Source organism: Homo sapiens, chromosome 15, assembly GCF_000001405.40.
Source record: "Homo sapiens chromosome 15, GRCh38.p14 Primary Assembly".
NCBI classification, from domain to species: Eukaryota; Metazoa; Chordata; class Mammalia; order Primates; family Hominidae; genus Homo; species Homo sapiens.
In genome coordinates this window covers 86,207,423-86,234,538 of record NC_000015.10, presented here as the reverse complement: position 1 = coordinate 86,234,538, position 27,116 = coordinate 86,207,423, and the positions used below count along the sequence as shown (strand labels likewise).

The window sequence follows — 27,116 nt, the reverse complement described above, 5'->3', positions numbered from 1 at the left end:
CACTCTGTCGCCCAGGCTGGAGTGCAGTGGTGTGATCTTCGCTCACTGCAACCTCCGCCTCCAGAGTTCAAGCAATTCTTCTGCCTCAGCCTCCCAAATAGCTGGGACTACAAGTGCATGCCATCACGCACAGCTAATTTTTGTATTTTTAGTAGAGACGGGATTTCACCATATTGGTCAGGCTGGTCTGGAACTCTTGACCTTGTGATCTGCCCACCTTGGCCTCCCAAAGTGCTGGGATTAGAGGCATGAGCCACCGCTCTCGGCCTTGTGACTTACTCTTTCGGAGTAAGAGTTCTGAGCTTACAGGGAACATACACCATTCTGCACACATGCCACCAAGCCACCTTGAGCACTTTTATACTATGGTCAAAGAAACAACATGGCTGAAACCTACAAGCAGATACACAGGACAGAGGAATAGCCCTTGAGATAGAACTAAGTCTTGACAGGATCTCCTGATAAAAGACAGCATCCTGCATGAGTGTAAGAACTAGGATTAGTGGCAATCACAACCCAACAATATCTTATGTGACCAAGAGTTTTGTCTCAAACAAGAAAAACTCAACACCACCATCCACAGCTGTGTTGGACCCAGAATGGGTGCCTGGGAACACCCTGGCCACCTTGGGAAGGTGGAATTATACTGCCCATCCTGCCTGCCAGTAAAATCCCAACTGGAAGCTGACCCTCCTCACTGGGTCAGGTTCAGTTCAATTGTTTCATTAGGTCTGTTAGTCCCAAGAGACTCAGAATTTACTTGACTAGGGCTGGAGGATGAGAACAATATTTTGGATCTTCCTCCAGGTCAAACTTCACTAGTTCTTCCTTCTTGCCACTGCATAGTAAGATTTAACACATTTTCAAACCTCCCAAGGAAAGTGTCAGCCCATTTTTTAAGTTGTAATCTCAAACAACAGACTGGGCTCTGAAAGAGTCCCTTGAGTATATTTACTTCAGAGGTTTTCAAACTTGATTTCTTCTGGCCCCTCAGGAACTTCTTTGGGTGTTTCTCAATGCCTATCAAGAGGCAAGGAAAGGGAGGGGCAAAGGACAAGTCATGCTGTCATTAATTGGGGTCTCCCCTTACTCCCCATTGTTTGCTTTATGCATGCAATTTCCCTCAAAAGATTTTATGTTCAAGAAAAAAAAAAAAAAGGTTTTGCTACTAAAGAATTTCTAATCTCCTCGCCTGGGCTAGCCCTCCCATGTTTGAAAAACCAAACTGAAGTCAAGTGTTTGATTTCAGTTTGATAATTGGTAAGATTTAAACTAGCAAAGAACTAGTTTAAAGTCACAGAGCCAATCAATGGCTGCATTGAACCCAGAGTCCAGTTTCCTGACTCCATGTGGAAGGTGGGAATAATCTTTGAAATATGAAGCTTTTCTCCTTTGGAAATGGTCACAACTGAGTTCAAATTTTAGCTCTTCGTTTACCATGTGTGGGATCTTGGGCAAGTCACTAACCTCTCCTGATTACACCTTCCTTGCATGTAAAATGGGGATCATAATATTACAGGCTCTAGTGAGAATGAGATGCCATGTGTAAAGTGCCTAGCAAGTGCTGTGCTCCGTAATTATTGATAGTCATTATTCAGTGCAGGTACTCTAATAAACACTCATTCTCTCCCTACTCCCTACCCTCCTTCCCACTTCGCTGAGGGCTGGCAGTAAAAGGTTCACAAAATATACTATGACACGGCATGAGGGCTACATGCAGGGCGGGGAGGCAGGAGGGCATTGTCCTTACATGGTGTTTTCCTGACCAGGCAAGGAAGATAACAGGTTATCAAAGAGCGAGAGGGGAAATGGGGAGACGTAACTACAAGATGTTCTAGGATTCACCAGAGGCAGCTCTGAAAAAGCAGCTCCGGGTGCTCCTGCCCTCCGTAAGTCCCGATCCATCATGCTAACATCACTGAAAATGCAACAAATTCCATCGGCTGTTCCCACCCCTGGCTCTGCTCACCCTGCCTCCTCCCAACTCCCTTAAATAATGGCTTAGCAAATGCCTCTGAGACCATCTTCAGCTAATTTCCTTCAAGACACGCAAGCTGCTAACGCTGGGAAGCACAGATAGTATGGAATAGCAAATATGGCCAAAATTACATTAAAATAACCTCCTGATAAACAAATTACTCACTGAAAATAAATATTGGACTAGCGCGGCCAAGATAACTAAAAGAACAGCACCACCACATGGCCGGAAGAGGAACGATATGCTTTACTGTCTGCGGCTCAGCCCAAGGCCCGCCCAACCTACTGGGTCTGACCGTCCCAAGGGGACAGGGATGGGGGCGACGAGGACAGGTAGTATCCCTTTAGCTTAAACCTTTTAAGCTCTTCTATGGACTTATGCAAAAGACATAACATTTTGGCAGAGAGGACTGAATTTGGAGCCCAGGAAAAAAAGCCATGTGCCAAGTTGAACACAGCATGGCATGAGGAGTCTGTAATTCTTCCTGCTTCCTTCCTCTCTCTCACCCCACCATTCATCGGCCGGCCTGAGGCTCGGCCTCAGGGCAGCAGAGACCCTGGCCCTTTACACAGCCATGGTGGTGTGCTGGGTACCTCTTGCTGGGTCCCACTCAGATGCCTACAAGGCATGGACCATGTTCTTTTCTAACCTCAATGACAGATACCCCCTCCCACAATAATCCTTCTAATACTTAGACAGTATTTATTTAGCTTTTTTTCAGCTTCCAGTCATATCTTCTTTAGGCTAAATAAACCTAGCCTCATTAATTTCCTCGGTTCAGCACAGAGCTCAGGTCCCAGGGGTCTGGAGACTGGCAGGTAAGCCCTGCAGCCCACTAACGATGTGAGTTACTTCAGCTTTCCAAACTTCAGTTCCTACATCTGTAAAATGGGGATTATAAAATCTCCTTGATAGGCTAACTGTGTATAGAGTGCCTGACATACTAAGAACTCTTGCTAAATGGTAGATATTTGGGTTGTCATTTCAAACCAACAGCGTGATGGATATAGCTTGCTATGCTGCATTCCTGCACACTCAATCACAGCCGTCCATCCCAGTGTAACAAATGCAAAAATCTATCAATATTATTTGAAGCAAATTTTTGGCTCATCACAGAAATATACTGCATGCTTCTCCAGAAGTTATGGTGGAAGAAGAGACATCAGCTCTATAATCATGCCACAATTTGATTCCTTCTGGGGACGGGAATTAGGCTGGACTCTTCACCAAGGCATACTGAAAGCAAATGTGTGAGGCTAAAGTCAGGAACCTGGAATTCTTTCTTAGTCAACATTAATGTATTATCAGCTACTCTGGGTGTAGCCCAGTATGAGGTATGGGGGATCCAGTAGAATCCCAGTTCCTTTGGAGCTATACCCAGTAGGAAAAATATGCATACACACATAATATGCAAAAAAAACATGATTCATCAATTACAGTATGGTTAGTTCTCTGAAATATAAACATAAGGTTCTATGAACAGTGTTATTTGTGCCAAGACCCAAAGAAGGGCTGGACATGAAACATTCGAAGTCTCAGAGATCTAGGTGGATCACGCCCTCTCTCTGGTCCTCAGTTTCCTCCTGTGAAAATAAGGGGGATGGGGGAGGTAAGATCAATAGTTTTCTGTGTTCACAGGAGCCCTGTTTTTTGTGACTGTGTCTCAGAGGCCGCCTTGGGGCTAATTGATGGGAGCCGGGCAGACGTGACTCTGAGCTCTCTACTCAAAAACTGCATGTGTCAATTACCTCAATTCAACCATCACAATGTCTACATATTTCAAAGCATCATGTGGTGCACCACAAATATATACATTTTAACTTTTCAATTAAAAATGAATAATAAGAACGAATTTTTAAAAACAAATATTTGAATATCCCTGGATGAGACAGCCTTGAAGGTGTTTTCCAGTTCTCGTAGTCTGACTCCATGGCCCTCATCTGGAAACTAAAGGAAGAAATACACTCTGTGGGCAAAACTTTGGGGGCATCATTCTCATCAAGGCAGGGCAGAGCCCGGAGCCAGGAGGGCAGACCACAGGCAGTGTGGAAACACAGAATTTACATGCAAGTTCAGTGACAGCTGCATTGATCCACTGGTACTTGTGCATGGTCATGAGATCAAAGGATTAACAATGCCAACCATCCTAAACATATATTGCCATTCTGAGGACTCCTTGGAACTCTTAGAATTCTTATAAAGACCTGATTTGGGTGCATATCAAAGATGGCCCCTTCTTTGACATTTTGTAGTAGAGCAGCCATTTGGCCATCAATCACATTCTCCCGTCTCTGCATTGCTGATTGCCAGGTCACAGCAGACGACTCCTGAGACTATGAGGCTGTCTGTTCCTGATCCGGCTCTCAGCACTTAGAATGCCCTCCCTTCCTAGCCTCCTGGAGCAACAGGCTGACGGGCTGTCCCTGTGAACCAGCCAGACAGAGCATTAACGAGGAAGATCTGTGAGAAGTCTCAACTTCCTGCCAAACTTCCCATTAGCTCTTTTACATCTCTCCCTCCCCCTTTTCTTCTCTGTCGCTCTTCCTTTGCTAACTTGCTTTTCTGTTCCCATGCCCCAACTTCTGCAAACTTCCAGACTCCTTTAAATGCTAATTCTTAAATTGGAGAGTGGTCTGACAGAGACTTATCATTCCCTTATTAAGTTTTAGGGCCTGAACCAGAAGGCGTTTTCTTGTTGCAAGAATATGACCTTTAAATCTGGACAGCAAGGTTAATACTAAGACATTATTTGAAGATTCATTTCTGGAGCCAGTACAAATCAGGCATAATCCCATTGCCGCACACTTACTCAAGTGCCGCTTCCAGGGTCACAATTTTTCAAAAATGCATTTATGCCTAATGCTCATGGAAGGTAATTGAGGAAGCAAAAAGAAAGAGGGAAAGGTGGACAGGGAAATGAGAAATGACAAAAAGGATGAGGGAAAAAGAGGAAAAGACAGAGATGAAGGTAGAAGAAGATGAGATGAGATAAAGGCAGAGTGAAGGCAGATGATAAGAAAGGGTGATATGGTTTGGCTGTGTCCCCGCCCAAATCTCATCTTGAATCAAAGGGACCTGGTGGGAGGTAATTGAATCACGGGGGCAGTTACCCTCATGCTGTTCTCCTGATAGTGAGTGAGTTCTCATGAGATGTGATGGTTTCATAAGGGTTTTTTTGCCCTTTTGCTTGGCACTTCTCCTTGCTATTGCCATGTGAAGAAGGACATGTTTGCTTCCCCTTCTGCCATGATTGTAAGTTTCCTGAGGCCTCCTCAGCCCTGCAAAACTGAGTCAATTAAACCTCTTTCCTTTGTAAATTACCCAGCCTCAGGTATTTCTTCATAGCAGCATGAGAACAGACTAATACAGAGGGAAAAACAAAGGACATGTTGTTTTGATTTATTATATTAAAAAATTTCCTGCAATAATAAGTAGCACTATTTCCTGACTAAAGCTTTACTACATTTCAGGAATAAAAAGCTAAATGTGTTTGGATAGGATAAAGCATAAAAAGGCAAAACTTTCAATACAGGACAATTTAGGGTGGGATTTGTGCATGTGAGAGTGGAGAAGAGGGGAACTGATACAAGGAAAGGCACGGGATTTGGATTAGACCATTCCAGCCTACATAGACACAGAAAGGAACCTTGAGTGAGCAATGATTTTTAATTTGTAGGATCCCAAATTGCTGAGATAACTGGAGAAGAGAACTAGGATTTCCAGGTTTATTTTGCCTGCTATTGCCCAGAAAGAGACAGAGACGGGAAATGTGTTTGTTCATTTTTCTTTTCCCAACACCCACATATTCTACACTGGCTTTTCATGCAGTCACTACTTGATAAAAGAGAAAGCTGAATAATGAGATCTTCCAAATGCAATGCAGGTGATCTTTCCCTTGCTTTCTGTGGTTACTGTGGGTAGACTCCAAGTCTCCCTGATCCCTCACTTCTGCTTTTCCTGGGGATGACCTCCGCCTGTCACTACTTGATAGGGCCTCAGTGGCCTCAGATTTCCAACCCACCCTAGTGTTTACTGTCACAGGACCACTGACTGCCCCCTCTCCCTGCAGAGTAGTGGGTCTTTACTCCTGGCTTTACTTAGATCAGAGAATTATTTCCTTTTTGGGATGCAATTACAGAGAACGATTACAATGGCCAACTTTTACACTCACTGACAAGCAAAGATCAAGCTCAGAATAATCACCAGCTAAAAGGAGTGTGCCTTTAGGAGCTAAAGGTTTACATAAACGTTCCCAGATATCAGTGCCAGATGGTGAAGTCTTGAATTTTAGACAGAAACTGACTTCCTGAATTTAAGTTCGGCTGAGGCAAACTCACTCTGGGGTCCAAGTCGAAAGATATTCCACATCAGGTCTTAACTATACATGACATATAGGCAATGTAAAGCAAATAGAAAATTCCACAACACTTCTATGCCCTGCAGCAACCCCTGACTCATCAGAATGTTGGTACCATCTATAACCAGACCCTTCATGCCATCAATACTTTTGATAGGCTGGTAAAACAAAGACGGCAGCTGCCTAGCATGCTGTTATTACTTCTCCCCAAATCCATGACAGACTTTGCGATTTAAATGAAGTCCTCTTTCTTGCTGAGCTTAAACATGATCTCAGAATTCTCCTACCCACACATTGGACTTTCTACTCATTATTAAATCTATTTGCCCTCCTCATTCTCAGACCCTCAAGATCCTGTAGAATCTGTTTCCCTCCAAAGTACTTTGTAAATGCTCACAATGACATTCTGCCTTCAGTGTTCTTACCTCTTATGAACCCATATGAATGAGGCTGATACTGAGGAATTTCACATCAATTATGCAAGAAGTGCATTTCTTGGAAATATCAATAAAGGTATTTTGGAAGGGGTCTTTTGAAACTTTGAATGAGCTTCAGCTCATGTGTGTACCCAAATACATACACATCAGTGATTCTCAACAAGTGGAAATTTTACTGTCCACCCCCCATGGGGGATATTTGGCAGAGTCTGAAGATAATTTTTTGGTTACAACTGAGGCATGATACTGGCGTCTGGTGGGTAGAGGCCAGGGATGTTGCTGTATATCCTGCAATGCACAGAACAGACTCTAACAGCAAAGAATTATCCTGTCCAAAATGCCAATGGTACATTGAGAAACCCTGATACACATTAAGGCTGAGTATTTAGTGTTAGAAAGAATGTTAGAGAACCTCTCATCCAACTACCTTGTGTTATAATTAACACCAAAGATGTATAGACAGCTCAGCAGAATTAGCAAATAGGCTATACATCCTCCTAGTGGGACACTAAAACCCGTTTTATATGTGGAGGACAGCAAGCTATTGCAGTTCTCCACCAATCTGTTAGAACAGGTAAATAGAGATGAGAATCACAAATGTTTAGATCATTGGTTCTATGCATGGATGTTAGATTCTGGTAGAAGGGGGCAGTACTGCCATTTTTACACATGGGAAAAATCACAAATCATGTATTCATTTAAAAATTTGGTATCCCAGTACTCAAAATTATTTTAAAAAGAAAACAACAACAAAAAAAATTTAGTCAACAAATACTTATTTCAGGATTTTCATTGTGCTGAGGCAAGTAATACAACAACCAATACAGATGACTCTCTCCCTCAAAAGCTTGCAGTCTGCTGGAAGAGACAGACAATAGCAATTTCATCACAATGTAATCAAGTCTGAGTTGGGAGAGCCTATAAAAGCATTGGTGAGGGGCATCCAAGTTGTGGTAGTCAGAGAAAGGATTTTCAGAGGAGGCAATATCTGAGCTAAGCTCTAAAGGGAAAGAAGAAGTTAGAAATTCTAAAAGCTGAGGCCCATCACTGCACACTCAGCCTACTAGGCATGGCTGGTGTGTTGAAAACCTAGCTACACGGTCTGAGCCTGAATCAAGCCGTGTTTGCACTGGCTATTGGTTTTTCCTGGGCTGAGGCATTGTGTTCCTGATCAATAGAGTAAACAACTGACATAAGACTACTTTCAGAGTTTTACACATCTAGGTAGGTACAATTTATATCAGGATGCTCAACCGTAAGCTCAAGAGCTAAGGAAAGTGTGTATGTAGAAAGTAAGCCAGCCTTACTCAGCTCTCTGGGCTCCCTTCCCATGAAACATCAAGTCCTCCATGCCAAGGCTGGGCTGGGGGGATTTGAGAGATAGCTTCTTTCCCAAGGCATGACATTCACAGGCTGGCCTACCAGGCTGCTCTCAGCATCTTTTCCTCCTGCAATTCAACACCCCCTCACCTTGGTGCTTCAAACACCAGGCATTTGGGAGCAACCGAGGGAGCAGATAAATAATGAGAACCGAGATGCCAAACCTGAAGCAAGTTCAGTCTGAAGAATGAATGGTCCTCTCCCCAGAACCCACAGTAACACTTTTCCATCCCTTCCTATCTCCAGGGCTTCATAAGCCCTTCCTCTTCACTCCCCTATCCTGCTCTTACCACCTCCACTCTACCTGCAGGTCTTTAAGCTGTGGATCTCATATCACAGCTTATCAAGTTATCTCAAGTTATCTCATATCACAGCTTATCAAGCTTATCTCATGTCAAGTCCACAGATGTGGACTTGCATCTCATATCAAATTCAAATAAACCAAATGAATTCAAGCTTCAATTTTTCTAAGCCTATAAAGGGAAACAGCATGTGATTTGGCTCTTTCTCTCTGCTTATAGTTGACAGAGATGTATGGATGGGGGGAGAGAGTGTTTTTATTTTTATTTATTTATTTAAAAGTTTTATTAAAGTTCACCTATTACCCACAGGCCTCAGGCTCCCTATAGAGAAACAAATATCACAATTGAAGCAGCTGGCTTCCAAGGTGCCAAATTAAAATAGATGAAGAGGTAAGGAGGAAAAAATGAGTAAAAACATTAAGCTAAGACTTCTTCCCTCCCAAGTGCATTGTGCCTGCTATTATATTGCACACATGAAATTGACTCCCAACGTAATTAGGCCAGGGCTACCAGGCAAAAAATTCCTCAAATTATTCAGAACCCCAGAGCTATTCTTTTGCAATCACTCAAGTAACTGAGAAAAGAGTCAACTTTTAAATATAAATTTGTTATCAGCATCATCATTGTCCAAGCAATTCCCAGCACTCCACCTGCCCAAGAATATAGACTCATGAGCTGAGCTGAGTTGAGAACCAAATACAGGAATACTTCTCTCCAGCCAGCCAAAATCTTTTCTTCCACTGGGACCTGGAGGCAATCCCACTGGAACCTGGAATTTATTTCAACAATCTTTAGGGACTGCTGGCTCTGTTAGACAGGGGTGGAGGGTCCATCAGCTCCACAGTAGTCAATATACCCCCTTTAGGGTCCATTGTCTTGGTGGCATTGTGTATGGATAATATTTATTTTCTCTTTGTGGTCATGTACCTGGAACAGCCATAATATTCTCTATCTTACCCCCAAAGACCCACGACATGACTTTATCACTTTCAAGGTCAGGAATTAGCCATAGGTGATTGAGAAATAGTAGTTCATGAAAAAAAAAAAAAAAGAAACAGCCATGGGGACCAGAAAGTATCTTTCATTAAACCCAGAGTGGAGAGAAATAGCCACCCTTCAAAAGAGGTGCTTACTGGATTTCAGCAATGCTGCCAAAACTTCAGTGGCTGCCCTGGGGAAAGAGAAAGAAAAGTAACAGTCAACATTCAATGGTCTTTTTCTCAGCACATGGATCCCACAGCCAGCATGCCCATTGCCACCCCATAACAGACCCATGATTAACCAGGTAGCAGGCAATCTATTGATTGCCCCGCTGACCATTAAAGAGGCATAAATGCAGAAATAACGCTGAGCGAAGTGTCCGTCTTGTAGATGGGTCTCTGAGGTCCCCTCTGCTGCTGAAAATCTCTTTCTCTCCCCTGCTTGCCTCCCACCTTCCACCAACTTCCTTGCACAGAGTGGCTCATTTTTCTATTATTCATACCAGGCAGAGCTCTTGTCAGTCTCTTGATTTGTTTGTTTCTGGAAACTTGCAGGGACTCTGGAGGATGGTCTGGGAAGGAGTGGGGCTTGGGGGCTTAGTGAATGTAGCAGCACAGTGCAAACTTCTTGAAACACTCATACCCCTGGGGATGCAGTGGAAAATGCATTCACACATTGCAAAGAGAGGCTGTTTCCTTAGGGTGGAAAATAGTTATGTTGGGATTTTTCTTCCAAATTCATTCCTTTCTGCCATGGAGGAATGTCACAGTCTTTGCAACAAAGGGACACATATGAGAATGAAAAATACTTTTTGACCCACATCTTAGTGGCTTTTCAATCTGTTTCCTGCTTCTGAGAAGGTCACACAAAAATCTACCTACAGGGCAAAGGAAAACTTCACTGGCATTGAGGGCAGTGTAGTATAATTATAGGGAGGAGAGTTGTGTTTGCTTTTTTAAAAAAATAGAAGATTCTGTGTGGCCCTAGTAACTTATCCCTAAGGCCTGCTAAGCAGTGATCTGTTTCCACCACCTCTCTCAGGATTGGAGGAACAGGCCAAAGAGGCTAGATCACACTTCCAAGACTGTACAGACATGTCAGCAGAGCTGGGATCCCAATCCCAGGAATCTCGCTGCACACCTCTGCTTCCTCCCCATCTGTTGTTCTCCAGAATCTCTCAGTGGCCCTACCCTGGCCTCTGCCTGGTCAATGAAAGCTCACTTTGCAATATATTAGCTAATACTGAACAACAGAGCCAGCAGTAAAAAGGAAGATAAATGAAAGAATAAATATAAAGTAAAATACAGTAGAAAAGCAGTACATGTGAAAGCATTGCTCCCCATAACCTACAAGGCAGTTCCACAAGAGCAAAAGCCTGAAATTCACAGGCCCCTGTGCAAACCCACAACTGGGATGACACCCCCACTCAGGGAGACCAAAATGACCATAGGGCAGTTAAAAGAGGGCGAGGCTAGCTTTCATGGATGGACTACTTCATTTATCCTTCAAACGGTTTTCCTCTTATCAACTTTCAGCTTCTTCAATCCCACTGTTGTTGAATCCCACAGAGTTTTCACAACAGTGGATTGAAAACGGAACACATGGAAGGTGTTTCTGAAAATTCAAGTTGTGTGAAAAATCCAGGTGCCATAGTATATGGGGCCTGGCTTGGGCTGGGGCAAAAAGAAAATCAGTGTTTTGGGAAAAGCAGAACAGCCTAATTAATTTCATCAAAATGAATGAGCAGAGAAGAAGGAAACCACAGAAACAGGAATAGAATAAGGATGTCCCAAGCAAGGCGCCTAACCCAATCCTAGTTCAGAGGCCAGGTCTCTAAGGATCGCATTTCTAATTTCCATTGCACTTTTGTTTTAGGAAGTTCACAAATGAAGTAATGATCCATTAGATAATGGTTTTATGAGACAGACTAGTGGTGGGGAGGGACAGGTGGCAAATAGACCAGTCAGGAGAATAAGTAATAATAAGGTCTTAAACCCAAAAAGTGGCATGGAGGAAGAAGGGATGGGTTAAAGCCACATTTGAATCTTGCTACTCAAAGTGTGGGTCTCTAACCAGCAGCCTCACATTTTCTGAAAGCCAGATAGAAACGCAGAATCTCAAACCACATCCCTGGCCTGCTGAATAAGAATCTTTATTCTAACAGATAATTTATATGCACATGAAAGTTTTAGGATAATTGGTTTAGGGGACAGTATCAGTATGGCTTAGTTACCCTTTCGATGTTGAGAGAGCAATTCAAGGTGACTCCCAGATCACAACTCTCTAGAAAGTACCTAATAATATGCTAACCTAAATAAATATTAATCCAAACAGTGACATTATATAGCTGGAAATGCATGATAAGTGTCACATTCATCAAAAAAATTGAGGCTTATTCCTGAGAAACTAGAAAATATTTATTTCTTCCTAGGGCATAAGTAGGAGATCAATGTTTAGTGCAGCAAAGGGCACATTTAGGGCAATGATGGAGATAAGATTTGAGGCCAAAGTCCAATATTCTAAAGAGTTAACATTCAACTCTGTAGGTAATGAGAAGCCATTTGGTTTTTTAAATTGAGATGATGTGGTGTCAAAATGGAAAAGTGAGAGAGAAGTTGTGAGCAAAAAATTAACGAGAGCTGAGGAAAGGTGAGCTGCGGAGGGTGAAGGAGAGTGAAGAGTCAGTGATGGCCTGGAATAGTTAGGCTAGGTAGATAGGGGAATAAGAGAGCCATTAATAGACTAAGAAGAGAAGTTGCAGTGTTTAGACAAAATAATGATTTTGATTTTGGTGCTGAGTTCAAGATGAAGGGTACAACAGAAGGCTACATGAAACTGTTTGGAATGCTGCTGGAAACATCATACAGAATTCAGGAACGCAACCACAGTTAGGAATATACATTTATGAATCACTACAGCAGCAATGATCATCATAGCCAGGCAAGCAGGTGATATCGGAGAGGAAATTCAATCAAGAGCAGAATAGAGGGCTGCCCCAGGAAGACATCAACACTAGAGGATAGGAAACCCCTAAAGGAGTCAGAAGATGTGCATTTGAGGAACTAGGAGACCTGCGGATGATTAGTTTGGAAACTGAACTTCACCAGACTGTCTAGGCACACTGTTTTTCAAACTGGAAATTTTGACCCAATAGTGCATTGTGAAGTCAATTTTATAGGTATCAACTATAGTTTTTAATGAAATAGAAATCAAAATGAAATTTAATATATCAGAGTCATTTCATGTAGCAAAGGTTAGCAGTGATCTAAGAAATTTTCACTTCAATGCATGAACATACACTTGTGTACCTACTGGGAATGTGATATAAGTGCTTTCCTTAAAAAAAAAAAAGTTTGTAAATATGTTGTTTTGGATGTAGTGTCCACATAAGATCTGTATAAGAATAAACATCTGAAATCAACTAATGAGCAAACTGAAAGCACTTCATCTCCCATACGCAGTGCCAAGGATCCAGACATCGAGTCGCTCATGTGCATGTCACCAAGAGGCTCTTGATTTTTGGTTTATTCAGTGGTTACATGTCTGCAGCGCTGGTCCACTCTCATCATTGCTGCTCTGCCACTTGTCTGCTCCCACAGCGAAGCATGAAGAAAGAAGTAAAACCTATCAGAGCCGAGGCAACTACTCTGTCAACCAACTGCTAAGCCCACAAAAAGCAAAAGCTTAAGCTGCTAAAACTTAAACAACTAAGAAGGCATTCAGTTACTTCCACTCCAAGAGCCAAGCCCATTGTATTGAGTGCGTGAACTGGGGGCCCACAGTCAGTGCCTTTGGAGTGCAAGACTGCCTTCTGCTGGATGTGCACATCTGACACCCATGGTTCTGGTAGCTGCACTGATTTTATAGAATAGGACTTCTTTTCATTTTTTATTTTTTATTTTTTTTTGATGGAGTTTTGCACTTGTCCCCCAGGCTGGAGTGTAGTTGTACAATCTCAGCTCACTGCAACCTCCACCTCTTGGGTTCGAGTGAGTCTCCTGATTCAGCCTCCCAGGTAGCTGGGATTACAGGCATGCCACCATGCCTGGCTAATTTTTGTATTTTTAGTAGAGACGGGGTTTCACCATGTTGGCTAGGCTGGTCTCAAACTCCTGACCTCAAGTGAGCTGCCTGTCTCAGCCTCCCAAAGTGCTAGGATTACAGGCATGAGCCATGAGTCACTGTGCACGGCCTGAAGAGGACTTCTTGGGAGGGCACTGTTTTCTTAGAGTGTAAACTCATAACATCATCCCCCATTGTTTGAGCTTCCCTATGGGATGCCCAGGGGAGATAGAAAGTAGAAGTGCCAGAATGTCCTCCAAATGGATGTCCCCATGTTTACATCAATGAAAGAATCATTTCAGAAATTTTTGCAGAACATCTTGCTCCAAGAGAGTTATAACAGCCAAAGGCAAAGTGGAACCGCCCACATCCTATCTATTTTCATACTGTAGGATAACTCAGTTAAGATTCTAGAGGTCACAGTTCACGTCCACTCTCCTTTTCAGAAAAAGCTAAGCTTAAACTATTGGCAAATTTGTAAATATCCTCTCGTTAAGATTTTAGCAAAACACAACAGAATTGCAACAGTTCAATTTACGTCTTCAAGTTGAAGTAAATTTTAAGAGCCATTACAGAGGAGTCTTGAATATTTATCACCCCTATTTAGGGAGCACCTATAAATGCCAAGCAGCAAGCTAAATGTCCTATATACATCATTATACATCACATTTGATCTTCACGGGAATGCTAGAGGGTGAAATTATTAGTCTTGGTTTACAAACAGCAATAATGAAGTTCACAAAGGTTAAATAATCTTCCCAAGTTTCAGCAGCTAGCAAGAGGCAGTATTCACTGGACTTGATGGCTCATGCCTGTAATCCCAGCACTTTGGGAGGCCGAGGCAGGTGGATCACAAGGTGAAGAGTTCAACGCCAGCCTGGCCAAGATAGTGAAACCCCATCTCTACTAAAAACTACAAAAAATTAGCTGGGCATGGTGGCAGGCCCCTGTAATCCCAGTTACTTGTGAGGCTGAGGCAGGAGAATTGCTTGAACCCAGGCAGTAGAGGTTGCAGTGAACCAAGATTGTGCCACTGCACTCCAGCCCGGGCAACAGAGTGAAACTCCATCTAAAAAAAAAAAAAAAAAAAAAAAAAGAGGCAGCATTAGCTATAAGTCTACCTCTGGGTGAATTTAAATCTAGTGATCCTAAAGTCTTCTCTCTACTTTTAACATAATTCTAGAAAGAATCTAAAATATCTCTCTGTGCAATATTTTTATCTTTCAAATAAGGATTGTGGAGATCAAAAGGTTAGATGACTGGTGCAAGGTCAGAGGATTCATACATCACAGAGCCAATGAGGCAAACAACTTGTCCAGCTTGAGTCCACTGTTTGATTCAAGATTCTACATAGCACAGTGTGGTACAGCTTAAGCGGGTTTAGATGTTCAATGGTGGTCATGGAGACAAAGACAAAGAACTCAAGGAGAAGCAAGTCACAGGCATCTTTGAGTGGCAGGACTGAGTTGCTAAATTAGGAATTAGAGGGCTTGGGTTTGAAGCTTGGAGCAGCCACTTTTCTGCTTCTGGGTTCTGGGTTTACTTGATCTCTCTGAATCTCATAGCCTTTCTCATTTATAAAGTGGGTATAAGATCTAACTGATGGGATGGTGTGAAGAGTGAGATAAAGTAAAATTTAAATTAAATTACGTTAAAAAGCTTACTAGAGCCCCTGAAATGTAATATTATTAGGTTGGTCCAAACGTAATTTTTGCCATTAAAAGTAATGGCAAAAACCACAATTACATTTGGACCAACCTAATAACTTGAATGTCATTCTTGGATCATGGAAGGTGGAATGGGTACCAAGTGAGGAAGTGGGTTTATCTCTGTATATGTGTTTGCAGGCAGTGAGCCTGCAGGGTCATCATTCACCAGTCAGGAGAGGTCACTGGAGAAAAAATGTGCTCCTATCCCTGGGTACATGGAGGAAACATAGGACCAAACTATCTCTTGGAAGTCAGATATTCTGTGGCACAGATGGCCTAGATATAGCAATGCCACCCATATTAGTTATCAATTGCAGTGTAATGTTACCACAATTGTAGCAGCTTGAAGCAATATTCATGTATTATCTCACAGTTTATATGGGGCAGGAATCCACTTAGGTGGATCCTCTGCTTACGGTCTGACAAGGCTGCAATCAAGGCATCAGCCAGGGCTGAGTCTTCATCTTGAGGCTCAACTGGGGAAGGATGTTTCCCAACTCAAACAGGTTCTTGGTAAAATACCTTTCCTTGCAGTGCCAAGGCCAAGGACACTGCCGGCTTGCTGTATCAACAGACAGTAAGACCACTCTGCATTTCTAGAGGCTACCTGCAGTTTCTACAAGCCACCAACTGTTCTTTGCAATGGGGGTTTCCCCAACATTACTGCTTACTTCATCAATGAGGAAAGTTTCTATAGAGAGTACATATGCAATGACCTCTTATAACACAATTATGTAATATAATCACAGGGGTGACCAGGGATGACATGTCCTTACCTTGCCATATTCTGTGGGTTAAAAACAAGTTTCAGCTCTTTCCCATCCTCAAAGGCAGGAAATAACATAAAGGTATAAACAACAGGAGGTGAGGATCATGGCAGGGGGCCACCTGAGAGTCTGTCCCCCACCCAAAGCTTCTTGCAATGTTTAGCATCCAGATACCAGCAACCTAACATTCACTTCACCAAGACTTGACCCTCCCCAGACGTCCCCTTTTCAGAGAGTGGAAATACTATCTTCCCAGAAGTTGAACATGCACCCTTAACACCACCTGCCCTTTCCACCTAGATCTCCATCATTTCCTCAAACACCACTTTGTAACTTCTAGAGAGCTCTTAAGTTGTCCATTCCTTTTGATCTCTGCTGTTGTCACCCTAGCCTAAGCATGTGAGGGTCTGGTACTTTAATGAGAAATGTAATTTCTAGAGCTATTGGTCCTTGGTTGGAACATATATTTTAACTTCCTAGGTTATTCCTTAGGTATATTAGAAAATATAATTAAGCAAAAAGAAATGAAATAAATTAAAATCACCCAAATATCTCTCACCCAACTACTGCTATAGCCCCAAAACTAATCTATCCATATCCACTCTGTATCTCCTTCAAGCTGTTCTCCAGTCTGCAACTAGAGTGGTCTTCTCAATCAGAGGCTCAGATTTGAGCACCCTCACATTGCTACCCCACATCCACTCTTGCTCTGGATAAAAAATCCAAATCTGAAACATGGACCAGGAGGCCCTACTGAATCTGGCAGATGCCACCCTCTCCAGCTTTGTCCCACACCACTTTCTCTTGCTTTCTATACCTCTGCCCCACTGTTCTTTTTCCAAGACCTAGAGCATGTACCCATGGCTTGTCCTTTGACCTTGCTAATGCTGCAGCCTAAAATGCCCTGGGCCTTTCTCCCCTTCTTTACCTGTATCTCATACTTTATCCTTTACATCCTAACTTAGGTGTCATTTCCTGTAGAAAGACTCCCTTGACCCCTAGTCCTCTGTTAGGTACATTCATCCTTTTTTCCTCTTTTCTCATTGCACAATTTAGTTTGCAGTTATTCACTCAGTTGTGTGATTGTTTTATTAATTTCTGTCTCCTCTTCCACTCTGCAAGCTCCAGAAAATAGGAAACATGTTTTGTTTTCTACTATTCTACCCCTACCACTTAGTCTTATTTGAACACAGATAACCATCAAATGTTTGCTAAACCTTTTTCAAAAGCTAGGCACTGGTCTAAGAGCCTTAGTTATATTATTCTTTCGTTCAACAAATATTTACTGAGGACCTGCTATGTGTCAAGACAAACTGATAAACCAAAGACTCTTACACCCAAAGAGCTTATGTTTGAGGGAATTAAAGTGAAAGAAATAGCCAATAGACAAAAGTATTTTTGAAAAGCCCACTAAATTAGTATTCTTAGATGTGATAAATGCCATGGGGAAAAAAAGAAAAAACAACAACAAGGTAAAGAGATCAGCTGTAGAGGAATGGGTTACAAGATTTAAAAGGTTGGCTGGAGTAGACTTCTTTGATAAAGCAACATATAAATAAAAATATGGAGAGGAAGTGGTTGTCATGCAATTATCAGGAGAAGCATCTGCTGAGCTGAGGGGACAGCCAGTACAGACACTGTAAGGTGACAATAGCCCTGACCTGTTCAAGGAACAGTGAGATGGGCAGGGCTGCTAGAGTTGAGGATGACAGGAGTGGAGCAGGACTGAGATGAGGTAGGTACTATAAGGGCTTTGGCTTCACCGTAAGTGGAGGATTCTCTACTGGATTTTGAGCAATGATTTAGCATGTTTTAAGAAGACTTCTCTGACAACTCTACATTTTTTTTAAAGGACTAGGAAGACAAGAGTAGAAGCCAGAGACCAGTAGAAAGCCATGTGGAGCAAACTAAACACAGCAACAAGTAAAAAGGATTACACACAGGAGTAAATGGGATTTAGTCCAGGAATGCAGGGTTGGTTTGACATCTGAAATTCAGTCAATGTAGTAACCCACCATAATAACAGAATAAAGAATTTGAAAATACCTGATCATCTCAAAACACGCAGGAAAAGTATTTGATAAAATCCATCATATTTTTCTTACAAAATTATTCAATAAGATGGAATCAAAGGAAACTTCCTCAAACTGATAAAGTGGCCTATAGAAAATCCACAGTTAATATGATACTTAATGAAGAAAGATTGAATGCTTTTCCCCTAAGATCAGAAATAAGATAAAGATACATATTCTGCTACCTCTGCTTAACATTATACTGGAGATTGTAGTCAGGGCACTTAAGCATAAATGAATAAATAAATAAATAAATAAATAAATGGCATGTAGTTTGGAAAATAAGAAATAAAACTATGTCTATTTGCAGATGGCGTGATCTTGGGTACAGAAAAATCTTAGTCACTAAAAACTATTAAAACTAATAAACAAGTTTTGCAAGGTGGCCATGATAACAGATTAACATACAAACGTCAATTGTATCTCTATACATTAGCAATGAAAATTCAGAAATGATTTTGTTTAAATCCCACTAATCTTAGCAGCAAAAAGAGTACAATTCCTGGTAATCAATTTAACAAAAGGCATCCTTTTATACTGAGAACTAGAGAACACTTGAAAAAATATTGCTAAAGATTGAAATAAATAGAAATCACACAAGTATCATTTTTCACCTAACTATTGCAGTAGTCCCCAAAATGACACATCCATATCCACTCTAGGACCCGTTCAAACTGTTCTTCATGGTACAATTGGAGTGATCTCAAGAAGCACGTGGATATGTTTTAGATTTAGAACTGATGGGATTTCTTGACAGATTGCTGTGAGATTGCTGAGAAAATACTAGCTCAGTTACTTCTCATAACAATCGCCATTTTACAGATGAAGAGACTAAGAAAGGTAACTTAACCTGCCTGAAGTAGCCATGTTAGAAAGCAGCAGATCTGGAACTTCACTGGGCATCTGTCTCACTGCAATGTCAGGTACTTAACACCTGCTGTCCAACACCACATTGAGCACTGGCACTAGCGAGCTTTTTTGGAGAGATTTCAGAAAGAAGGAAGAAGGTGGCCCTAGAATTTAATCCTAGAGCCTCACTAGAGTTGGCAGTGGGACAAGGGGTTGTTGCAGCGGAAAAAGAAAGTGAAGAACCAAAGGAGTTAGCCAAATAACAGGTGGATAAAGCAGGAGGACCTTTAAAAGGGATTGAACATGTTGTTTAGAATACCATCTGCTACAGCGCCGGCCTCCTGCCTGAATTGAGAGGGACTAGCAGGATGCATAAAATCACACACACACACACACACACACACACACACACACACACACGCATACATATACACTCACACACACACACAGAGCCAGGTGACCAAGAAAAGTGGTAACACACGGATCTTGCTAACCACCATTTTCAAGGGAGAGAGGAGAAAACAGAAACAGAAACTGAGATGGCTTCTGCATGCTGAAAGGAAAGAAAAAGCATAATAAACATATGGTGCAGAAATGGAACCAGATCCTGTGCCCAGGATGGAGCTCGTCCATTTTTCTTTGGAAACAAAGAACCTCCTCCCCTACAACTCTATCCAGATGCTGTCAAAGACAGATGCAGGAATCCTCATCAATCACGGGAAATTTTTTTAAGAGAAAATGAAACCCAGATCTCAGACTGGTTTGGTTACGAACACTCAGCAGGGAGTGTGACAGAGGATGGCTACTGCCTGAGATAGAACCAGGAGCAGAGCACCACAATCGAGGCTGGGAGGGCCCCATTCTGCCTGGCTTGTCATAAGCAGAGACTCTGCAAAGGAGAAATGGTTTTGAAGTACTTCCAAATTCACAAGCAACAGCATCAGAACAAGGGCTCAGACAAAAGCTTTTGGGAATCCCCAGCACTGGGAAGGAAAAAGCTAATGTCTGAGGGGAAAGGAGCAGACCGGGATTGCAATAAGTTCTCACAAACAAGAGAGTCTCTTTCTACATAGAGGTGTGACTCTCAAGTTAGCACTTAAGGCAAACATTACCCTTAAAATAATTTAACTTCCTTAAACAATTCAAAAGTCCATTATACATGGATGTACAACTATAATCCTATACTGCAATATGTATATAGAGAGGTATAATGAGTAAATAATATAATTAAGCATATATATGCAAAATAGAATTCTACAGAATGTTTGCTATTTGACTACAATAGAATATTCACTATACCACACACTTAGTTGAACTCTTATAAGTCAAATGTACCTATGATATAATCCACTCTTGAAATATCTGGCAGCACAAAAGAAAAGATGTGATATCCTATCTCAATGCACAGCACAGAGCAGGCACCCAGCAGACAGTTTCTGATTCAATAGATGAACAAAAATGTATCTGATTTTGCTCCAGTTAAAGAGCACATTGAAGACAAACCTGACTGTTATCTGTCCTGTTTGATTGAGATGTAACATGGCCATATGCGGTACCAAGGCTTAGCACCTTCCAGCATGAATGCAACTAGCATTTCAAAACGTTGTCATTCATACAAAGACAAATATTGTGCAATTCATTCCACTTACATGAGATACCCATAAAATGATGAGAAATAGAGACAGAAAGTAGATCAGTGGTTACCAGGGGTTGAGGGGAAGGGGAGTGGGAAGTTATTGCTTAATGATTACAGACAGAATTTAGGGGGTAACAACAAAGTTTTGACAGTAGATAGTGGAAATAGTTCTACAATATTGTGAGTATAATTAATGACTGAATTGTACACTTTAAAAGGTTTTAAACGGCAAATTTTAGGTTATGTATCTTTTATAATAAAAAAATAACAAAAAGAGTTATTCTTGTATTTGATGACTAACTAGTCATCCCTCTTTTTAAAAGTTGCTTGGGTCTGTGGGAAAGAGGGGTACAGTGTGGCAAAGACCTACAAAGTGCTCCCTCACTTGGCAGGACATAGAATAGCAACAGAAAAGTTCACCAGCGATCACTGAGACCAGTGATTTTCAAACTTGAGCATGCACTGTGCCTCAGACTCCTTGGAAGGGCTTGTTAAAACACAGAGTTTTAAGCTCCAGCCCCGAAGTTCCTGACACAGGAGGTCTAGGGTGGGACCTGAGAAACTGCACTTCCAACAACCTCCCAGGTGTTGCTAATGCTATGGTCTAGGAATCTCACTTGTGAAACACTGACTGAGGCAGTGGGTGCTCAGTAGATCTGACCAAGGGACTTCCTTAGTAAGAAGTGAAGGGAGTACTGCTAAGCCATTTTTATTTCAGGTCAAATACTCAAGATCCTCCAGGATGCCTCCCAGTAGTTCCATGATTTGCGGAACTCCAAGAAAAGATTTCATAAACATTCTTCTTTCCTAAATAAAACTAAGGACTATCACCTAAAAAAAGAGATCTTTTAGTTTTGAGGAACTCTTTCCTAACTAAGGTCTGCGGTTCCAGACAGTAAGGGCAGTTATTCATTTTTGTACATATCACAAAGCCTTGCAATGATTTGGTGATCACTCCTTGATTGACAGGATTTATGATTCCCAGAATCCTTGTAGTGTTTAGAAATTAAGATCGTCATTAAAACTCAGATGATATGGGAAGACTTCAATAAAACTGTCGTCCAGGTACAGTGGCCCATGCCTGTAATCCCAGCACTTTGGGAGGCCGAGGCGGGTGGATCACCTGAGGTCAACAGTTCGAAACCAGCCTGGCCAACATGGTGAAATCCTGTCTCTACTAAAAATACAAAAATTAGCCAGGCATGGTGGTATACACCTATAATCCCAGCTACTTGGGAGGCTGAGGCAGAAGAATCGCTTGAACCTGGGAGGCTGAGGTTGCAGTGTGCCAAGATCACGCCATTGCACTCCAGCCTGGGCAACAGAGTGAGACTCTGTCCCAAAAAATAAAAAATAAAAATAACTGTCAATCCCACTTCTTTAAAGGATGGGATTTAGTACCAATGAAGTTCAACATGGGCTATAATCTCTCAGAGAACTCCAGGCATGCTGAACTACCTGAAATTCTCATTAACACACATGTTCTTGCATTTCACCCCAAGGTTGAAAGGGAATTTCTCTCATTCTTTAGAAAGCCTTTTCCCCTTTGGCCCTTTCCCAGCTAGCAAACTTTTCCTCCCCTATCTACTCACCTTATATCATCCAGCTCAATTCCAGCTCCCCCGCTTCCTGAGTTCCAGACTCCATAAAGTTCTTCCTTCTCTGAGTTCTCATCACACTTTCTAATTTTCTTTATTATAACATTGTTTACGGTAACATGGAAATTGCGTATTTATGTATCTGACTTCACATTAGTCTAGAAGCTCTTTGAGGACAGCAAATATAATCTTTAAAATCTCAGCACTTATCATAGCACCTGCTATACAGTAATTTATAAATATATGTTTGGTGAGTAAATAAACTAATCATTGAATAGATTGCAACAGTTGTCTGCTAAACTTAAATATACCTCAATGTTAACTCCACACTACTTCTAGAAACCACATAGAAGGTGTACTACAAAGACAAGCCTTTTTTTAAAGAGAAAATAAACAAGAATTCCAGGAGACAACTCTTAAAACTCAACAGGATTCTGTTCCAAGATGGCCGAATAGGAACAGCTCTAGTCTGCAGTTCCCAGCGTGAACAACACAGAAGACGGTGATTTCTGCATTTCCAACTGAGGTGCCTGGTTCATCTCATTGGGACTGGTGGGACAGTGGGTATAGCCCATGGAGGGTGAACTGAAGCAGGGTGAGGCATCTCCTCACCCAGGAAGTGCAAGGGGTCAGGGGATTTCCCTTTCCTAGCAAAGGGAAGCCGTGATGCCCTGTACCTGGAAAATTCGGACGCTCCCACCAAAATACTGTGCTTTTCCAATGTTCTTAGCAAATGGCACACCAGGAGATTATATCCCATGCCTGGCTCGGCAAGTCCCATACCCACAGATCCTTGCTCACTGCTAGCACAGCAGTCTGAGATCGACCTGTGAGGTAGCAGCCTTGCAGGAGGAGGGGCATTCGCCATTGCTGAGGCTTGAGTGGGTAAACAAAGTGGCTGGGGAAGCTTGAACTGGGTGGAGCTCACCGCAGCGCTGCAAGGCCTGCTGCCTCTGTAGACCCCAGCTCTGGGGGCAGGGCGTAGCTGAACAAAAGGCAGCAAAAACTTCTGCAGACTTAAATGTCCCTGTCTGACAGCTCTGAAGAGAGCGGTGGTTCTTCCAGAACAGTGTTTGAGCTCTGAGAATGGACAAACTGCCTCCTCAAGTGGATCCCTGACCCCTGTGTAGCCTAACTGGGAGACACCTCCCAGTAGGGGCCAACTGACACCTCATATAGGTGGGTGCCCCTATGGGACAAAGTTTCCAGAGGAAGGAACAGGCAGCAATATTTGCTGTAATGCAATATTTGCTGTTCTGCAGCCTCCGCTGGTGATACCCAGACAAACAGGGTCTGGAGTGGACCTCCAGCAAACTCCAACAGACCTGAAGCTTAGGGACCTGACTCTTAGAAGGAAAACTAACAAACAGAAAGGAATAGCATCAACATCAACAAAAGGACATCCACACCAAAACCCTATCTGTAGGTCACCAGCATCAAAGACCAAAGGTAGAAAAAACCACAAAGAAGGGGAGAAACCAGAGCAGAAAAGCTGAAAATTCTAAAAACCAGAGTGCCTTTTCTCCTTCAAAGGATTGCAGCTCCTCACCAACAACGGAACAAACCTGGACGGAGAATGACACTGACGAGCTCACAGAAGCAGGCTTCAGAAGGTCAGTAATAACAAACTTCCCTGAGCTAAAGGAGGATGTTCGAACCCATCTCAAGGAAGCTAAAAACCTTGAAAAAAGATTAGACGAATGGCTAACTAAAATAAACAGTGTAGAGAAAACCTCAAATGACCTGATGGAGCTGAAAACCATGGCACAAGAACTACGTGACACAAGCTCAAGCTTCAATAGCTGATTAGATCAAGTGGAAGAAAGGGTATCAGTGATTAAAGATCAAATTAATGAACTAAAGCAAGAGGAGAAGTTTAGAGAAAAAAGAGTAAAAAGCGACGAACAAAGCCTCCAAGAAATATGGGACTATGGGAAAGACCAAATATACATTTGATTGGTGTACCTGAAAGTGACAGGGAGAATGAAACCAAGTTGGAAAACACTCTTCAGGATATTATCCAGGAGAATTTCCCCAACCTAGCAAGGGAGGCCAACATTCAAATTCAGGAAATACAGAGAACACCACAAAGATACTCCTCGAGAAGAGCAACCCCAAGACACATAATTGTCAGGTTCGCCAAGGTTAAAATGAAGGAAAAAATGTTAAGGGCAGCCAGAGAGAAAGGTCAAGTTACCCACAAAGGGAAGCCCATCAGACTAACAGCGGATCTCCTGGCAGAAACTCTACAAGCCAGAAGAGAGTGGAGGCCAATATTCAACATTCTTAAAGAAAAGAATTTTCAACCCAGAATTTCATATCCGGCCAAACTAAGCTTCATAAGTGAAGGAGAAATAAAATCCTTTACAGACAAGTAAATGCTGAGAGATTTTGTCACCACCAGGCCTGCCTTACAAGAGCTCCTGAAGGAAGCACTAAACATGGAAAGGAACAATCAGTTCCAGCCACTGCAAAAACATGCCAAATTGTAAAGACCATCAATGCTAGGAAGAAACTGCATCAACTAATGGGCAAAATAACCAGCTAACGTCATAATGACAGGATAAAATTCACACATAACAATATTAAAATTAAATGTAAATGGGCTAAATGCCCCAATTAAAAGACACAGACTGGCAAATTGGATAAAGAGTCAAGACCTATCAATGTGCTGTATTCAGGAGACCCATCTCACATGCAGAGACACACACAGGCTCAAAATAAAGGGATGGAAGAAGATCTACCAAGCAAACGGAAAGCAAAAAAAAAGCAGGGATTGCAATCTTAGTGTCTGATAAATCAGACTTTAAACCAACAAAGATCAAAAGAGACAAAGAAGGCCATTGCATAATGGTAAAGGGATCAATACAAGAAGAGCTAACTATCCTAAATATATATGCACCCAATAGAGGAGCACCCAGATTCATAAAGCAAGTCCTCAGAGACCTACAAAGAGACTTAGACTCCCACACAATAATAATGGGAGACTTTAACACTCCACTGTCAATATTAGACAGATCAACGAGACAGAAGGTTAACAAGGGTATCCAGGACTTAAACTCAGCTCTGCACCAAGCAGACCTAATAGACATCTACAGAACTCTCCACCCCAAGTCAACAAAATATACATTTTTCTCAGCACCACATCACACTTATTCTAAAATAGACCACATAATTGGAAGTAAAGCACTCCTCAGTCAATGTAAAAGAACAGAAATCACAACAAACTGTCTCTCAGACCACAGTGCAATCATATTAAAACTCAGGATTAAGAAACTCACTCAAAACCACACAACTCCATGGAAACTGAACAACCTGCTCCTGAATGACTACTGGGTACATAATGAAATGAAGGCAGAAATAAAGATGTTCTTTGAAACTAACGAGAACAAAGACACAACATACCATAATCTCTGGGACACATTTAAAGCAGTCTGTAGAGGGAAATTTGTAGCACTAAATGCCCACAAGAGAAAGCAGGAAAGATCTAAAATCGACACCCTAACATCACAATTAAAAGAAGTAGAGAAGAGCAAACAAATTCAAAAGCTAGCATAAGGCAAGAAATAACTAAGATCAGAGCAGAACCGAAGGAGATAGAGACACAAAAAACCCTTCAAAAAATCAATGAATCCAGGAGCTGTTTTTTTGAAAACATCAACATAATTGATAGACTACTAGCAAGACTAATAAAGAAGAAAAGAGAGAAGAATCAAATAGACACAATAAAAAATGATAAAGGGGATATCACCACCAATCCCACAGAAATACAAACTACCGTCACAGAATACTATAAACACCTCTACACAAATAAACTAGAAAATCTAGAAGAAATGGATAAATTCCTGGACATATGCACCCTCCCAAGACTAAATCAGGAAGAAGCTGAATCTCTGAATAGACCAATAACAGGCTCTGAAATTGAGGCAATAATTAATAGCCTACCAATCCAAAAAGTCCAGGACCAGATGGATTCACAGCCAAATTCTACCAGAGGTACAAAGAGGAGCTGGTATCATTCATTCTGAAACTATTCCAATCAATAGAAAAAGGGGCAATCCTCTCTAACTCATTTTATGAGGTCAGCATCATCCTGATAACAAAGCCTGGCAGAGACACAACAAAAAAAGAGAATTTTAGACCAATATCCCTGATGAACATCGATGCAAAAATCCTCAATAAATTACTGGCAAACCGAATCCAGCAGCACATCAAAAAGCTTATCCACCATGATCAAGTAGGCTTCATTCCTGGGATGCAAGGCTGGTTCAACATATGCAAATCAATAAACATAATCCATCACATAAACAGAACCAATGACAAAAACCTCATGATTATCTCAATAGTTGCAGAAAAGGCCTTCAACAAAATTCAACAGCCTTTCATGCTAAAAAAAAAAACTCTCAATAAACTAAGTATTGATGGGACGTATCTCAAAATAATCAGAGCTGTTTATGACAAACCCTCAGCCAATATCATACTGAATGGGCAAAAAACTGGAAGCATTCCCTTTGAAAAGTGGCACAAGACAGGGATGTCCTCTCTCACCACTCCTATTCAACATAGTGTTGGAAGTTCTGGTCAGGGCAATCAGGCAAGAGAAAGAAATAAAGGGTATTCAATTAGGAAAAGAGGAAGTCAAATTTTCCCTGTTTGCAGATGACACAATTGTATATTTAGAAAACCCCATTGTCTCAGCCCAAAATATCTTTAAGCTGATAAGCAACTTCAGCAAAGTCTCAGGAAACAAAATCGATGTGCAAAAATCACAAGCATTCCTATACACCAATAACAGACAAACAGAGAGCCAAATCATGAGTGAACTCCCATTCATAATTGTTACAAACAGAATAAAATACCTAGGAATCCAACTTACAAGGGATGTGAAGGATCTCTTCAAGGAGAACTACAAACCACTGCTCAACGAGATAAAAGAGGACACAAACAAATGGAAGAACATTCCAGGCTCATGGATAAGAAGAATCAAT

General features: G+C 41.7%; 1 protein-coding gene across 11 annotated transcripts in view; it reads right to left on the bottom strand.

The window, feature by feature from the left end:
* AGBL1 (AGBL carboxypeptidase 1) overlaps window positions 1-27,116 on the bottom strand; it is a 951,857-nt gene that overhangs the window by 796,938 nt on the left and 127,803 nt on the right. For all 11 annotated transcript variants that reach the window (XR_007064423.1, XR_931751.4, XM_011521227.4 and 8 more), the window contains exon 6: window positions 9,588-9,625. Coding sequence is in view for 9 of the 11 variants with exons in the window: in XM_011521227.4 (XP_011519529.1) it covers window positions 9,588-9,625 (38 nt within the window). In the remaining 2 variants the exon portion in view is untranslated. The remainder of the gene's footprint in view (window positions 1-9,587; window positions 9,626-27,116) is intronic.